The 18,925-nt window shown below is 35.2% G+C and overlaps 1 protein-coding gene across 8 annotated transcripts in view; it reads right to left on the bottom strand.

Moving 5' to 3' along the window:
- MAP2K5 (mitogen-activated protein kinase kinase 5) overlaps window positions 1–18,925 on the bottom strand; it is a 264,412-nt gene that overhangs the window by 138,034 nt on the left and 107,453 nt on the right. For 6 of the 8 annotated variants that reach the window (NM_145160.3, NM_002757.4, XM_011521788.4 and 3 more), the window contains exons 12-13: window positions 10,467–10,528; window positions 4,436–4,484 (exon numbers count right to left, since the gene is read on the bottom strand). In NM_145160.3, the coding sequence (NP_660143.1) occupies window positions 4,436–4,484; window positions 10,467–10,528 (111 nt within the window). Of the gene's footprint in view, window positions 1–4,435; window positions 4,485–4,798; window positions 7,757–10,466; window positions 10,529–18,925 lie in introns of those variants that run through there. The other 2 variants (XM_017022414.3, XR_007064474.1) reach the window with 2 other exon arrangements.

Genomic DNA, 18,925 nt, shown 5'->3' with positions numbered 1-18,925 from the left:
CACTAATTGGAAAGTCTGTGTGAGGCCAGATTTATAAAAGAGAAAAGCCAAGGGTAGAAAATAAAATTTGTAACATGTATACTGAAACTACAAGGCTTAGTTTCTTTAAACACAAATCTATCTGGCCAGCATTTTCCTACAGAATTTCTGCAAAAACGTATTTTTAAAAAGTTCTCCTATTGGAGAAAGTAAATGAAACTAACCAGGTTCATATATACAAAAAAACTCCTGGCACACCAACTATATAGGTTTTTTTTTTCTTCTATAAACTTCTGCATCTGTGTAAGATGGCCCCAGAATGATTGCCAATTTTATTTTCTTAATCTAAATTCTATTCTCATTACCCTTGCATTTCTATTTTTTATCCTCAGGGAAAGAGACAGCAGTTACTACCAGGGCATTCTCACATCTTCCCAAGAAATGGCATAGGTGTTAATCTTGTATTTATGTTTGATGTGGGTAATGATGGCTATGACTGGAGCTGTAGGTTTATTAATATGCAGGGCTCTCACCTCATTAGTGGCGATGTATGTTTTGAAGTGAAGCTGCGATGTTTCCTGTAATGTCGGATCTGGCCTAACAGATTTTCTCACTGTTCATTTTCTTTGTTTTTACCCATAGTCAGCACATGCTATGCTTATAGTGCTCTCACATATGCCTTTTAATAAAGACAACTTTTCCACAGTAGTTAATTTGGTGGGCATTTCAAACATTTTTAATGATTATGTCCTCATGTGGAATTATCACACGTTTGGTTTATTTTAGAGAAAAGATTTTCATAATTTTTGACTCAGTAATATAAAGTATAATAAACTCTCTCCCTGGCTTGGTTTTGGAGTGGTGTATTCTTATTAACTGAATAAAGTGATTAATTCATGGTTATAATAAAAACATGCCACATTCTTAGCATTCAATAGTTTATAAAGTCCCTGCACATATATCTCAACCAAATCTTAAAAAGAGCAAAATAAACAATAGTAACACCTGACTGAATATAACATTTGATGATCCATTATGAATAGCAACTGCTGTGCTTCAATTTCCAAAACAATTTCCAGTTAACATAATATACTATCAAATAAACTAACTTTTACCAGACTAACAAGCCTCATGGGATGAGTGGTTTGCCGCTGCTTATTGCTCAGATTTCATTCTACTCTACAGTCCTCACTGGATATAAACTACGGGAGAGACTCCAGGTTTTCAAGAGTTTGTTTGGAAGCCATTAACTACGTTTAATAAATTCTGTAATATACTACTTATTTATACACTTTCTATAGCTAAAATCTGGACCACCGTATTCCAAGGAAGCCATATAAATGCGAGAAATAGTTTGTTCTCTTTTCTCATTAGATACTGAACACATCTCCATTTCTTAATCTTTTGAAATTTGTGCCCATAAGTACAAAGCAATTTCTTTTTTTTTTTACTCTGGTTTTTAAGAACGGCATTAGAAAATGATGATCAGAGGACAACACAGGTACTTAGACCAAGACAAAGGAGGAAGAGGTATAGATCACTCATTAGTATTTCTCTTTCACCATCTTCTTTTCACTGTCCTCTCACAATGCCTAAACCAGGCTCCCCCAGCCCCTGCAGAAGGACCCCTGTTTTTGATTTGACAATGTGACACATGTTCAGCTAGAATTCCCATCATCATTCATTTAGAGAAAGCAAAAATGAGTACATGTGCTTTTAAGAAGGAACAGCAATGAGCTTATATAGCAAAAGTGCATAAACAAGTATATTACCTATTTAATTGCCTTAGCTGAACTTAAAAGCTCTGATCTTTAATTGCCTGATTGAACTGATCTAAAAAGCTACAATTTTTTAATCAAGAAGAAAATTAAATAGCTTTTTGGTAAATAAAAAGGCATCTTTAATCTTATTTTTATGGAATCCAAGTTATTAAATATGGACAAAACCTCTAAAATATTAAGTTAACAACTACTCAATCTAAGGTAAATTTCTCATTACAATGCTTTACAAAAGTCTTCAGGGACACCTGGCTTCTTTGACGCTTCAGTAAAAACACATGCTTTTAAGTCCAGAAGGTAAAAGTTTCCATGAATAGCTGGGAAACTCAAAAGCTAAATATGAATATATTTAATGAGGTGTATTACCACAGGATATTTATTTCTGTAGTTGAGTGGCCATAACTACTGGGACATAACTGTTCATCTGCACTGCAATTCGTTAGTCTTTCCATTGAGACAGATGTAGGTGCACACTCATTCACTGAAATTCCTTGAAAGGACTTGTCAGCCCTCTACCACTGTTCCTACTGTGTCCCCAACAGATATCTTCTTCTCACAACAGGTGGCATTTTATAGCAGGCTACTCTCTGTAGGAATTGGGCTGGCCAGCACCAACTGAAAAAGTAAGTACAGGCCCAGGATTCCCTCTTGAAACCTCTATGCTCTCCATCAGTCAAACCACTGCAGCCCTTGTCCGTCACTAACGAAAAAGCCCTTTCTTAGCCCAAGTTGCAACCAGGGATGAAAAGAAGGACCTACTGGCTTCTGAGAGTCTCTGGTCAACCAAGCTTGGCCACAGTGATCATGAAGTGGTTTATAGTGAGAATCTGACCCTAGACATTATTTTTAGATCCAGACAAATCCATCTGAAACATGTCTATCAAGATCCCATTTCAAATGAAAAATTTAGTTATTTCTCCCAAACCCAGAGTAAAAATTAAAATAAAAAAATTTAGATACAGGAATACAAAAGGTACATCAACTTATCAGCATGATTTCTAATTTTAAAGAAGAAAAATCAAGATAATGGCAGAATAACTAAAACATATTTCCCTATCCACTATAGTTCTTTGTGCTACTAAGATTCCTTGCACAAAGTTATAGCTAGAGAGGGATTTCATTACAAGCCAGAATTAACCTGTATGCCCAGAGACAGGATGATCCTAACACTCACTTTCTAACAACACTCGAATTTCCATGGCACTGCCCTTTTAAAGAAAGCTTTACTATTAAGAATGGATGTTTTTCCTTTAGTTCTTTTGTCAAATGGATAGATGTCCATTTTTTAAAGAATCAATAAAATTTTGAGAACTGACCATTGGGTTAATTCTTATTAAAATGGCTATCACCACTTTACCGGTAGCTGGGTGTGCGGAGGTAGGAGTACAGGGAATAGAAACAATATAAGTTATATCATGTTGAATACTGTTATCTCTTACTCTTGGTAGTCAAAAATGTTCAATTTTTTTTCATCCACCAAATTTGTTTACACACTTATTTATACTCAGAGAAAGTAACACTAACAAAACTCACTCTCCCTACACCTACCTTTCGCACCAACTATACTCTAGAAATGGAGTGGACTGGCTTTAAAAATAAATCTAGTTTATGATTCCATTTAGTCAGTTAAATACCTTCAAAAACCTGACTATTTGATTTGTCAAAATCTAGATACCCTCATTAAAAAGGAGGATTTCAGAAGAAATGTGGAATCACTAGGATATTAAAACCACCACAAAAGAAAACAACCCTTAGTGACAGATATGACATCACAGTTGAAAATATCAGTTGTTTTCTCCATCTCACAGTTTATATCCTTAAAAGAAAAAACTTTCCTTTAGTCACATCTAATGTGTATGCTGTTCCATTCCCCAAATGTACATACAGCTAAGATGAGCAGATGTGTAAAATTAAACAGCACTGTTAGTAACACTAGGCCTTGAAGTTGCTTTGTTATAGTCTCTTTCTCACTTAATAATTTGCTCCAAATGAATTCAGATATTTTGGGAACATTAAAAAAACAAAAGGAGATTCCTTTTGCAATATTCAACACTCATCTGATTATTCTCTCATGTGTTCTGTTACTAGACAAGGGGACTATTCCTGATGCTTTCACCAATAACTTATTTAAAGTTTTACTTTTGGCCAGGCGCGGTGGCTCCCGCCTGAATCCTAGCACTCTGGGAGGCCAAGGTAGGAGGACTGCTTGAGGCTAGGGGTTTAACAACAACCTGGCCAACAGAGCAAGACCCCATCTTTAAAAAAATTAAAAATAAAGTTTTTCTTTCCAGTATGTGAAGCAATCTCTTAAGGAACAGTGTGTGATGCTATCTGAAATGTTAATAGAAGGAAGGATGTAATTGTACAGAAAGCAAAGGTTTTGCATTAACAATAGTTAAGTAAGACAAACAAGATCCTGTTATTTTCAAATACTATGAAATATCTTTTTACAAGTTTGACAAAGGTGATTCACAAAAACACACTACCAAGTTTATAATCTAAATGAGAGAAGTTGATGGAGAAAACAAGAAAAATAACATTTATAGAGCAGCCATCTTTTTGAGTACCAGATGTATCAGCTGGCTTAAATGTCAGAACACTTACTTTAAAAATCAAGGTATCTGGAGAGACCCAACCCCACCCCAAATTAAATCCAAGCTTATAAGCCCAGCACATACCTCTATGTAAAATCTTTAAACTCCACAAATAAGTAAGGCCTTTAACAACCTAAATTTAGGAAAAAGAAAACAGTACAATTATCAATTATGGTTTTTAAAAGGAACTTTCCATATTTAAATACATTCAACATTTTTTTTTTTTTGAGACAGGGTGTCACCCTGTCACCTAGGCTGAAGTGCTGTGGGGTACAATCACTGCTCACTGTAGCCTTGACCTCCTGGGCTCAAGCAATCCTTCCACCTCAGCTGCCTGAGTAGCTGGGACCACAGGTGTGCACCATCATGCCTAGCTTTTTTTTTTTTTTTTTTTTTGGTAGAAACAGGGATCTCACTAATGTTGCCTAAGCTGGTCTTGAAGTCCTGGGCTTAAGTGATCCTCCTGCCTCAGCCTCCCAAAGTGCTAGGATTACAGGCGTAAGCCACCACACCTGGCCTAACTCTTCCCTTAAAACTCTGTCAATCAATAAGCATTTACTGAACACCTCCCATTTCTGTGTGAGGCTTTGTGGGAAAACCAAATGCAAAAGCCACAGGTTCCTACCTTTAATGAGCTTATAATCTTCTGAAGATAAGGTACTCCAAATGAAAGAAATAAGTGCATGTGTATATAAAATAATCTGGAAGTACCTATGCTGAATTCATAATGATGCTAAGCCAGGGAAGGAGAGACACAGGAAAAAGGGAAAATGGCTTTCTTAATTTTCTATACTTCTGTGTGTAAAACTTTTTTTGAAGTCATGACACTTATGACCAAGGAGAAACTTTTCTTCTGAGACAGGATCTCACTCTGTTGCCCAGGCTGGAGTGCAGTGGTGCAATCATAGCACACTGTAACCTCAAATTCCTGGGATCAAACAATCCTCCCACCTCAGCCTCCTGAGTAGGTGGGACTACAGGTGCACACCACCATACCCTGCTAATTTTAAAATATTTTTTGTAGAGATGTGATCTTGTTTTGTTGTCAAGGCTGGTCTTGAACTCCTGACCTCAAGGGATCCTCCTGCCTCGGCCTCCCAAATCCCTGGGACTACAGGTGGGAGTCACCATGCCTGGCCTGGAGAGACATTTTTAAAAAGTTAACTAATGAAATAAGGCAGTGGGTAGAATAGAAACTGCTTTTCCCATCAGGAGTCAGAAAGGCTTACTAAGGTGTTACATCTTGAGTAACGGATTTAACTTGAATGAAAAAAAGAAAAGGAAGTGTTTAGGTCAAGGTAAAAATATATAATCAAAGTACTGGGCAATGTACTCTTCCAAAATATCAAAGTAAGGAAAGACAAACACTGAGGCATTAGAGAGACATGACAACCAAATGCAATGAATAATCCTAGACTGGAGTAGGACCAGAATTTTTTTTCTTTTGTCTATACAGGGTATTATTGGACAATTGGTGAAATTTGAATAAGGGCTGTTGAGTAGATAACAGTATTGTATCGATACTAGTTTCCTGATTTTAATCAGTGATTATGTAAGATAATGTGTTTGTTCTTAGGAAATAGATACCTAACATATTTGGGGATAAAGGCTGTGATATCTGTAACTTATTCTCAAATGTTTCAGGAAAAAACATGTTTATAGATTTTTAACCCAATATGGTAAACTTTTAACAACTGGGGAATATGGGTGAAGCATCTGTGGGAATTTTTTGCATTAGTCTCACAACTTTTCTGTAAGTTTAAAATAATCTCAAAATAAAAAGCTCCCCCCAAATTTATAAAGTATATTGGGGCAGGAAAGAATGAAGTATATCAAGATGGTCCTCATAAGCCAGTCTGGCTGGTGCAAAGCATATATGTTGACAAGGCAAGGTATTAAAAGGGCAGGTCAAGGAAATAAAATGAGAAAATACAAACATCTGAATTAGATTTGCATTTTTCACTCTCATAGCCTGAGTTAAGAGTAATTAGTTGAATGAGATACTGAAAAAAAGATGTTTCCATGACCCTAAGTATATGGGTGACAAGTACTACCTTCTATGTGGAAAATTTAATCAGTGGTCACCATTAAAAACTTAAAAAATCTTTATGTATAAATTGCTATAAAAGGAAATGTACATGTTTTATTCATAACCACTGATCCTATATGCACATGAGCGTGAACTTACCAATTTCAAGGTTGACTATTCATAATTAGACACCAGATACACTGAACAAATCACTATTGGTCAAAATTTACTGTAAGATTTACAAGTATTCATCACTATAGAGAATTCTGGGTAAGTCAGGACTATAAGAACAAGAAAACCTATCATTACCCATGAGAAGTAAATGAGTCGTTTACATATCTTGAAAATGGTAAGAAAAGGTTAGGGGCTAAATATGCAAGAATTCTAGTTGATCAAGGAAGCCTAAGAGCAACTGTGAAATAAGAAATGCAATGGGAGAAAGCCAATTCCCAAATACTAAAGATCTAGAAGACAAAATCTATATCAATTAATACTGAGCAGAAGTTAACATATTTTAATTGTTCTCAAAGGGTGCAATGTGCTCCTGAAAGATTTGCTAACATAGATTCATCAATTCTAGTATATGTTTGTCTATTCTAAGAGAACAGCATACATTTTTATAGCAAATGACTTGTTCCACAGTTTGGAAATAACTGGCATTACAATAAAACACATGTATTCTGGACAGGAAGACAATACAGAAAGAAAATATCAAAATATTAATAATGATAAGTTTATCACAGAAGGAAATATAACAAAAATATTTCTTTAAATGTTTATAAAAATTAACATCCATAACGATAACAATTTTCTCTTTGAGTAATAGGAGGAGGTCATCTTATTTAGCATGGAGGTGATCATCTCCATTCTGAGGAAGAAGGGTTAAAATTTTCAACTTAGAAGCTTAGCTGCATGTTATAAAAACTATCCATTAAAGATAGCTCACCACTAAAAATTGGTTCCATACAAAATGAATTTTCAGAAAACATGTAGGGGAAGGCAATCCAATATATTCTGATAGTTAGGTAGAAAAAAGTAAAACAAATACTGATTTTATAATATTTGCTAAAATTATTCATTTTGTTAGAGATTTAAAAAGAAAATATTCTTATTCTTTGTCAAAATACACTACATTTTCCTTTAGAAACATGTAAATTCTGGTGAAAAAGGAGCTAGAAATCTGTGAACTGAAAATCTAAAGGATATTATTGGTATTCAGTAGGCTGGGTTTCACAACGATGACTTGACAAAGCCTTGACACTAAAAGTACTTATATCTGTTGTCAATCACTCGCTCCTTGACATGTCAAGTGCACCTCCTTTCAGGGACAACTTCAATCAACATTAGCACTCAAAATACAGTACACAATGTCACTGCTTCAGAAATGAGAAGAAAAATAGAATGTGTTAGGTGGCAGGGAAAGGCAGAAAGGCATTCCTCTTTATAGAAGACCAGATTCAAATGGATAGTAGAGAAAAACCACTGAGCCACTGAGTAAGCTGGAAGGCTGAAATCAGGTATATATAAATTCCTTTGGGGGAAAAAAAAAACTCTCTTGCCATACATTTTACAAGAAAAAATTTGAATAACATATCACAGAGGTCAACAGAGGTCCATGCTGTAATGAACCTTGGACCTATGAACCTGCCTTGCATGGCCAGATTATTAGACCCTGGAAAATAAAGTTAATTTGGGAAAAGAGAGATACCTAAAGACATGAAAAGAATCTGAAGCAATTGTGTTGCTCCACTATTCTCTCATTCATAAGTCTCTCTTTTTATTTTTTAGCCTAGCTCTTTCTTCCACTCCTGCCTCTATTTTTTTTTTTTCTCATTCTGTTAGGAAAACACACTGAGAAAGCAAGAGGTCTGGTGTCAGACAGCCCTGTGTTCAAATTTGTACTGACTAATTAGATGATAACTCTGGGCAAGCTGGTTAACTTTTCCAAACCTCATCTTGCATGTGCACAGAGTATGTTCAATAATCCACACTTTACAAGGTGGCTGTAAAGGCTAAATGACATAATATTTGTATAGAAAGCATGCAACAGTGATTGGCACAGGAAGTATTCAATATACACCTATTTCCCTACTCTCTGTTTCTGATTCTGTTGCTTTTGACTTGGCAATGGCACCCTTGTGTTTTCTTGGCCTCCATGAGGGAACTCAAGGGAAAGATGTTGATGCCATCTTCAGTACACTTTCAGAGAAATGACCAAGGATACTGGGATCACAATCAGACTATGGGAATATTTAGTTTACACACCACAGCCCACAGCCCATCAATTTGCTAGTCTTATTTTGACTAGTACAACCCTCCTGGTGCCAGGTATTAGCCATGGGCCAATCTGGTGTTTGTCAGCTGCAACAAATGATAATCCAAATTTGTAGCCTACTCAGGAAACATACAAAAAAAACACTACATTTTGGAGGCATTATACAAACCCAGGCTCCTGCAGAATTTAGCATGGAGGTGATCATTTCCGTGGCAGACAAAGAGCAAAATTATTAAAAAACATTTCTTCTACTCCAGCTGTAAGTAGTTTTCATTACTATGACCTGATGAGCCATAAAAGCTGGAAAAATTGGACACATATTTAGGGGGGAAAACCCCTAATTAAAAAAAATGTAAAGGCAAATATAAACAATCCTTCAGAGTAGCTCTTACTTTAATGCCTTTCACTAAAATAATTTGTGTCACATTTTCATTCACTTAATAGGCAAGCCCTGTATTTGATGCTGAATTATTTTTTCTGCTGACTCTATTCACTTCAACAGTCTTCCTACTCCAGTAGAACTGAAAAGATAGGTGGCCTTGTGTGGATGCCCTAAACAAGAGGGAAGTAAGATTTATGAAGTTCAGGAAGAACATGCTTCTCTACTGAAGATGGCAGATTTCTATTTTTGCCAAGTTCCATAGATAACTGAATATATAGAAGTTGTATACTTTTTTCTTTTTCAATTGGTATCCTTGCCTTTTTTTGCCCTTTATTATACATGTTATTAAACTTTACAGCCAAGAACTGCCAAAAGCCACAAAGCATTCATTCTCTCCTGGGATTAGAACAGGAAATGAAACATTTTTATTTTCATCTAAAATAGTGATTTAAGTACTCAAATTTCATACTAATCTACCTGCACATGTAGATGAGAAGCTACTTAGGAGCAATAGCATCAGAAAAGAAAGTTCTCATCACCCAGGGCACTTCACACTAATAATTAGAAAGAAAAAAGGAAAGCTGTGAATTACAATGAACTAAGACTAAATAAGTGTCCATGTTCGATTAAAGAATTTGAGTTGTCAGTTTGATGTATAATGAATGTGAAAATCAGCCATTTAATTAAATGGTACATGGTACAATCACTTTGTTCTGCATTAAACCACTGAAGTTATCATCGTGCCTTTAGTTTAGCAATTGTTTACTATCACACCACCCCATGACTTCTCTTAGACACTGTTTAACCTACATTATTATAAATGTGAAATATGGAACTTATGAGAACATTATAGTAATGTTAGTTTAGTTTATATATTTCATCAGTATATTAGTGCATATAGAAAATACAAGAATATGGGAAAACTGCTTTAAATCACAAAGGGAATAAATTTCTAGATGTAGTTGATGAAAAAATTAAAAACCAAGAACATAAAAAGACTGCAAAAAATCTTTACTAATACTACTTTGTTCTTAATAAATTAATATTTTCTCATAGACTGCTTTAACAACTCAGACTTTTTAAGTATTTGCTAATCATATGCTAATCATAACTACAAAATGTAAAAACAAAACAAAAAACAGCATTTTTTTTTCAGAAGAAGTTGGAAATTTTACGAGTCAACAAGAATACCAAGGTCCCTGCAAACACATGAAACTAGAACAGGTTGGAGCACATAAGCGTGTGACTATGTTGTGATGTTGGGTGGGCTGGTCTATGAAAAGAAGAACAAAACAGGAGAAAATCAAGAAGGTCTTAGGAGCCAACTGGGATTGAAGAACAAGAAAAAACATTGAGAATATAAGAAGAATGAGCTTGATTAGAAGGATTAAATCACTCAAATTTCCTAACACTGAAGCCATATACTTACTGCTACTGCAATTCTTCCAAGGACATGTTCTGGCATTTTCCTATATACATCCAAAGATCCCCCTGTAGAGATAAACATGCCATGTTACTACAAATGAAATTACCAGAACAATGCACTGGGCTTCTCCTGTGTGTTCACTGTGAGAATACATTTTTACACTTCCTACAGCATGCATTGGATGTGTAGTATAAAACTTTTTAGTCCAATGTTATCTAAAACATAATCATACTTCCTGATGAAGTATAACTAGATATTTCCATTTTATTCTGAAGTGTATAGTCACATACATGAAAAACTGAAAGAAACTAGTCAAGGGCAAGCTAAGAAACTATACTTTATGTAAACTTAAATACATACACAAAATTATAAAGATCAATATGACTATTAAACATTTAGTTGCCTGTCTTTTGTAACAGCTTTTCTCAAATGTAAACCAGGGTAATATCTTAGAATTTTCACATTAATCCAACAAAAGCTGGAATATATGCAGAGAACCACTACGTTGCTCATTAATGATATGATTATGAGATCTATTTTAACAATATGTAATAACCTTTCTTTAAGAGTCAAATTGAGGTATATAGTCTTTCAGTTCTATAAAAAAATTGTATTCCAGAGTATTTGACAAATATTTTTTCCTATCAGAGGCTAAAAATTCTTATTTAATGCTTTATTACTGGATGATTCATAAGTATGCCTCATAAGGTACTAAACATGAAGTATGTCATTCTTCCGAAATGCAAATGTGAATATTTTCATATGTCAAATTTTCATAAAGCTAAACATCAGAGAAAATATTTTTATCTGTAAAAAAATCGTGTATTCATATACAAACATATGTATGCAAGTATACATATATATGCATATAGACACATGCATATATATATATATATGGCTACTGGCTTTATATTTATCCCATTTAAAGCAGATAGAGAAAAATGATCACTCTTAGTTAAACTTTGCTTGTAGTTTGCAGATTGGAACAAGAAACTGGGAAACCACTGTGTAACTAAACATTACACTTTGGCTCTCGGTGCTACTGGGAAGATAATGAAAAAAAGACACTTCTGATATGAACTGAACCACCCTTATTTACCAAAATTACATTTTTATTATAGATGTAATAAAAGTGAGAATACAGCAGAAAAACGTTTTATGTTCTCATTGATCTTTCAGATAAATTGGCAGTACCAAGGATAAACAGAATAAAAAAGATCAAGCTTTACATGCTGGTATTTGGAAGACTGACAAATGCAGCTTACTGGACCAATCCCTTATGAAGTGAATGACCTGAATGACTCAAAACTAGGAGGTGAAAACCCATCCACATGTACCAGTAACAACTTCTAAGAGGAGATTTACTTTTACCAAGGATATAAATCAGGGCCTAATTAACTAAATGGACAATGGTTTCAACAAGCTAAACCTAAAAAACAAAGATTACCTTACCACCATTATCAGTAGAAGAAGCCAAAAAGGAATCTAATTTTGAGGTGGTTCACTGGTTTTTAACCTCAGTTAGACCCGCTTTCCTTAACTATCCATATGGCTAAATCTTTACACAGCTGGCTCTGTGCCATCACTGATTCATTTTGTCCTTTTCATGTCCGTTAGAGATAAACGTCATAGGTGAAAAAATGATGTAGCAGATCCACTCAGGATTAAGAGTTCCTGTTAAGTTTGATGAGTTCTTTTTCTGCAATTCAGTAATTCTTATCAGGTTAAAAATGGCAGAAGGGGTTGGTTTAATTTTTCTCTTTTATTATCATTTCTATTCTACAGATCTATCAAAAATGGCAACTGTTAGACCTATCAAACATTAGGGCAGGAAAGGACATTAAAGATCAGTCCAGCAACTTTACTTGACAGGTGGGAAAAACAGTCCCAGTGATGTGAATGTTCTAGCTAAAGCCATGAGTCAGCTGATGGCAGAGCTCAGAGAGGACCTGAACCTTTGAAGTTTCAGAAGTTAAAGATTTAAAAGGTGGCCAGGCACGATGGCTCACACCTGTAATCCCAGCACTTTGGGAGGCCAAGGAGGGAGGATCACTTGAGGTCAGGAGTTTGAGACCAGCCTAGGAGACACGGCAAAACCCCATCTCTACCAAAAATATAAAAATTAGATGGGCAAAGTGGTGTACACTACTCTGTAGTCCCGGCTACTCAGGAGGCTGAGGCAGGAGAATTGCTTGAACCCGGGAGGTGAAGGTTGCAGTGAGCAGAGACTGCGCCACTGCACTACATCCTGGGTGACAGAGTAAGACCCTGTCTCAAAAAAAAAAAAAAAATTAAAAGGTTTCCCCATGACGTGACATATATGGCTTGAGAATCACATGTGAACTTTTTGCAGTTTAAAAAGTCTCATGCAATGTGATACTACTATGATGCAAATTGACAGAATTTAATTTTAGCTGAGATGGTGGTATCCAAGGCATTTAGAAACTCATTCATCTGTGGCTCGGTAGGTTTGAACTTTTTGCTCGTGATTCCAAAGTTACTGGTTTGTTCTCTGTGATCTGTCACTTTTCTTTGTTCCCTGAAGTCATATGTAACCAAATAGAAATTCTGAAGTTGAAAAGTATAATAACTGAAATGAAAATTTTTGGAGAGGATCAACAGCATATTTGAGACAGCAGAAGAAAGAATCAAGGGAGGTAAAGATAGGTCAATGGAAATTATCCAGTGTAATGATGAAAAGAAAAGAAAATGAAGAAAAATGAACACATTCTCGGAGACCTGTAAAATACCATCCAGCATACGGACATATGCTTAATGGGAGATCAGAAAGAGAGGAGAAAAGGTAAGGAGTGGAAAGAATATTTCAGAAAACAATGACCCCAAACTTCCTAAATTTGATTTTAAAAAGTGAATCTACACATCCAAGAAGTTCAGTATACTTCATATAGGATAAACTCAAAGAGATCTACATCTATACACATTATTATCAAACTATCCATAGCCAAAGACAAAAAGAAAATCTTGAAAGCAGCAAGAGAAGTGACATTTCAATTACAAATAATCCTCAAAAGAACAAGAGCTGATTACTCATCAGAAACCAGAGGTCAGAGGCAGGGGAATGACATTTGAACATGAAAGAAAAAGATTATAAACCAAAAATTCTATATCCAGCAAAAACTATTCTACGAAACTGAAGGAGAAATTAAGATACTCTCAAATAAACTGGGAAATTTATCTCAGAATACTGAGAATTAATCATTAGTTAACCTACCCTACAAGAAATAAAATACAGTCTTTCAGACTGAAAGAACTTTAGATTGAAGTTAAAAGACAGTAACTCAGATCCACATGAAGAAATAAGGAACACTGGTAAAGGTAACTGCATAGGCAAATATAAAAGACAGGATAAATGTATGTTTTGTTTGTATCTCTTTTGTTCTATGACTTAAGAGACAATGGCATAATTTTAAATTTGTGTTGGACACACAATGTATAGGAATGTAACTTATATGACAATAATAGCATAAAAAAGATGAGAAGAAATTGAGCTATACAGAAGCAAAGTTTTTGTATACTATTTTTTTTTTTTTTTGAGATGGAGTCTCACTCTGTCACCCAGTCTGGAGTGCAGTGGCACAATCTCGGCTCACTGCAACCTCTGCCTCCTGGATTCAAGCTATTCTCCAGCCTCAGCCTCCCGAGTAGCTGGGATTACAGGCATGCACCACTGAGTCCAGCTAATTTTTGTATTTTTTTTTAGGAGAGACGAGGTTTCACCAACTCGGCCAGGCTAATCTTGAACTCCTGACCTCAGGTGATCCGCGCACCTCGGCCTCCCAAAGTGCTGGGATTACAGGTGTGAGCCACCATGCCTGGCCTTTTGTATACTATTAAAATAAAGTCAGTGTTAATCTGAACTAAATTGTTATAAGTTAAGAAGTTAATTGTAATCCCTAGAGCAACATTAAGAATATAACTCAAAAACACAGAGTAAAAGCAACCATGGGGAATTTAAATGGTACCTTTGAAAATATCTACTTGATATAAAAGAAAGCAACAACAGAACATGAAAGACATGACTTATAGAAAACAAATAGAATGGGATAGATACATCTCACCTTGTTAGTAATTAATGTAAAAGGTTTAAGCACTCTAATTAAATAAGAGATTGGCAGAATTGATTTTTAAAAAAATGATCCAACTATATGCTGTCTACAACAAAGGTATTTTATATTTAAAGACACCAACAGGTTGAAAAATGGTGAAAAAAGATATACTATTCAAATAGTAATCAAAAGGGAGCTGCAGTGACTATACTAGTGGAAAAAATAGACTTTTAGATAACTATTGTTAAATATTGTTACTAGAGACAAAGACATTTTCTAATGATAAAAGGATCAATCAACCAAGAAGATATAACAATTATAAACATGCATGGACCTAACAACGGAGTGCCAAAATATATGAAACATAAACTGAAAGAACTGAAAGGAGAAATAGACAACTCAAAAATATTAGTTTTTGAGACTTCAATATCTCACTTTCAAAAATGGACAAAACTATACAGAAGATTAATAAGAAAATACTGAACAGTATTATAAACCAATCAGAATTAACTGACATGTAAAGGATACTTCACTTAACCACAGTAGAATATATTCTTCTCAAGTACGCATATGTGGAAATTAAACAGCACATACCTAAATAAAAATGGGTCAAAAAGAAATCGCAAGAGATTTCTATCATAGAAAAATGGAAAATACTTTGAGATTAATGAAAATAAAAACACAACATACCAAAACTTCTAGGATGCAACTAAAGCCGTGCTTAGAGGAAAATTTATAACCTACATTAAATAAGAAGAAAGATCTCAAATCAATATCCTAACTTGCTACCTTAAACAGAAGGAGAACATCAAGCTAAAACTAAACTCAAAGAAAGCAGAAAAAAAGAAAATAATAAAATTTAAGCAGAAATAAACAAAACAGAGAATAGAAAAAAAAATAGAGAAAATCAAAGAAACCAAAAGTCGGTTTCATTTTAAATGAAAAAATTTTTTTTAGCTGGGTGTGGTGGCTCACACCTGTAATCCCAGCACTTTGGGAGGCCAAGGTGGGTGGATCACCTGAGGTCAGGAGTTCGAGACCAGCCTGACCAACATGGAGAAACCCTGTCTCTACTAAAAATACAAAATTAGCAGGGCATGGTGGCACAGAGTAGCTGGGTGCTTGTAATCCCAGCTACTCTGGAGGCTGAGGCAGGAGAACGGCTTGAACCCAGGAGGCAGAGGTTGCTGTGAGCTGACATTGTGCCATTGTACTCTAGCCTGGGCAACAAGAGCAGAACTCCGTCTCAAAAAAAAAAAAAAATATTTTAAACAGAGAAACTGACAAACTTTTAGCTACACTGACCAAGAAAATAAGTGAGGAGACTCAAGTAACTAAAATCTGGAATGGAAGAGGGAACATTACTACCAACTTTGCAGAAATAAAAAGGATTATAAGAGATTTTTCAGAACTGTGTATCAATAAATTAGATAACCTAGATGAAACAGATTAATTCTGAGAAAAACACAAACTACCAAAACTGACTCAAGAAAAAATAAAAAATCTGACTAAACCAGTATATAAAGAGATTGAGTTGGTAATAAAAAAACTAATCACAAATATTATTCAGCTTTTAAAAGGAAGAAAATTCTGACACATGCTACAACATGGATGACTCTTAAGGACATAATGCAAAATGAAATAAGCCAGACACAATAAGACAAATACTGTGTGATTCCAATTATATGAGGTACCTAGAGTAGTCACATAGAGACAGAGTATAATGCTGTTTGCCAGGGGCTGGGAGCGGGGGTGAATGAGGAGTTCTTATTTAATAGGTATAGAGTTTCAGTTTTGCAAGACAAAAAGAGTTCTGCAGATGGATGGTGGTGACAGTTGCACAACCATGTTAATGTACTTCATGCTGCTGAATTATATACTTAAAATGGCTGATACAGTTTGAATATTTGTCCCCTTCAAAACTCATGTTGAAATCTCACTCCCAATGTTGAAGATGGGGCCTCGTGAGAGGTGTTTGGGTCAAAGGAGTGGATCCCTCATGAAAGACTTGGTGTCATTCTCACAAAATTAAGTGAACTCTCACTCTAAGTTCCTGCAAGATTTGGTTGTTAAAAAGTGTCTGGGACCTCCCTCCTCTCTCTCTTGCTCCACGAATGGAAGCTTCCTGAGACCCAGACCAGAAACAGGTGCTGGGCACCATGTTTCTTATACAGCCTGCAAAATAATAAGCCAAATAAACCACTTTTCTTTATAAATTACCCAGTCTCAGGTATTCCTTTATAGCAACACAAGATGGACTAATATCATGGCTAATAAGGTTAAAATTTTTGTATGAGTATTATATCATAATTTAAAAAAAACACGCACTAATGACACACCCCGAAAACCTCAGAACCAGATGATTTCACTGGTGAATTCTATCAAATGTTTAAAGAAGAATCAACGTAAGGCATTTGAAAAAATGTTTGACATCACTAATCACCAGGGAAATGCAAATCAAAACCACAGTGAGATATCCTCTCACTCCAGCTGAAATGGCTTTTATCAAAAAGACAGGGAATAATAGATGCTGGCAAGGATGTGGAGAAAGGGGAACCTTCATACACTATTGATGGGAATGTAAACTAGTACAGCTACCATGGAAAACAGTATGGAAATTCCTCAAAAAAACTAAAAATAGAACTACCTTATTATGATCCAGTAATTTCACCATTGGGTATATATCCAAAAGAAAGGAAATCAGTAAATTGAAGAGATATGTGCACTCTAATGTTTACTGCAGCACTATTCACAATAGCCAAGATATGAAATCAATCTGAGTGTCCATCGAAGAAAAAATAAAGATAAAGAAAATGTGGTACATAAACACAATGAAATATTATTCAGCCATAAAAAGAATGAAATCCTATTATTTGCAAGAATATGGGTGGATATTATTTTAAATGAAATAATCTGGACACAGAAAGACATATATGTTCTCACTCACATGTGGGAGCCAAAAACAAATGATTATGGAGACATAGTAGAGTGATGATTACCAGAGACTGAGAAGGGTAGTGAGAAAGGAAGGACAAAGAGGGGTTGGTTAATGGGTAAAAAAGTACAGTCAGATAGAAAGAATAAGATCCAGTGTTTGGCACCACAACAGAGTGATCACAATTAATAATTTATTGTATATTTCAAAATAACTACACAAGTGGAATTGCAATGCTCCTAACACAAAGAAATGATAAATGTTTGTGGTCATACATATCTCCATTACTTTGAGTTGATTACTACACATTGTATGCTTGTGTCAAAATATTATTATGCATGTACTCCATAAATATGTACAATATTATGGATCCATAAAAATTTTGATTGATTTATTTATTTTGAGACAGAGTCTCTGTCACCCAGGCTGGAGTGCAGTGGCATGATCTTGGCTCACTGCAACCTCCAGCTTCCAGGTTCAAGTGATTCTCCTGCCTCAGCCTCTCAAGTAGCTGGGATTACAGGCATGTGCCACCATGCCCAGCTAATTTTTTTGGTACTTTTAGTAGAGATGGGGTTTCACCATGTTGGCCAGGCTGGTCTTGAACTCCTGACCTCCAGTGATCCACCTGCCTTGGCCTTCCAAAATGCTGGGATTACAGGCGTGAGCCACCCTGTCCAGCCCCTAAAATGTTTTAAAAAAAGAATTAACATGAATCCTTCATAAACTCTTTCAAAAAATGGAAGAGGTGGCAACACTTCCAAACTCATTCTATAAGGCCAGAATTATCCTGATACCAAAATCAGACACTGACATCACAAAAAAAGAAAACTAGACCAATGTCCCTCATAAATATGAATACAAAAATCATCAAGAAAATACTAGCAAACTGAACCCAGGAACATATAAAAAGAATTACACATCATGACTAAGTGGAATAATTCCAACACTGCAAGACTGGTTCATTTTGCAAAAATCAATTAATATAGTATACCATATATTAATAGAATAAAGGACCAAATATGCACGATTATTTCAATAGATATAAAACAGGCATTTGACAAAATTTAATACCCTTTCATAATTAAAAAAAAAAAAAACTCAACAAACTAGAAATAGAAAGGAATTTCCTCAACCTGACAAAGGACAACTATTCCAAACCCATGGCTAACATCATATTTAATGGTGAAAGACTGAAAGCTCTCCCTCTAAGGTCAGGAACAAGAGAAGGATGTCTGCTCTCATCAGTCTATTCAACATTGTACTGAAGGTTCTAGCCAGGGTAATTAAGCAAGAAAAGGAAATAAAAGACATTCAGAATTGAAAAGAAAGCACTAAAACTACCTCTATTTGCAGATGGCATTATCTTGTATATAGAGAACCCTAAGGAATCCACAAAAAGCTATTAACATTAGTAAACAAGTTCAGCAAGGTTGCAGAATACAAGATCAATATACAAA

Source organism: Homo sapiens, chromosome 15 (assembly GCF_000001405.40).
Source record: "Homo sapiens chromosome 15, GRCh38.p14 Primary Assembly".
NCBI lineage: Eukaryota > Metazoa > Chordata > Mammalia > Primates > Hominidae > Homo > Homo sapiens.
This window is presented reverse-complemented; position numbering and strand designations above follow the sequence as displayed.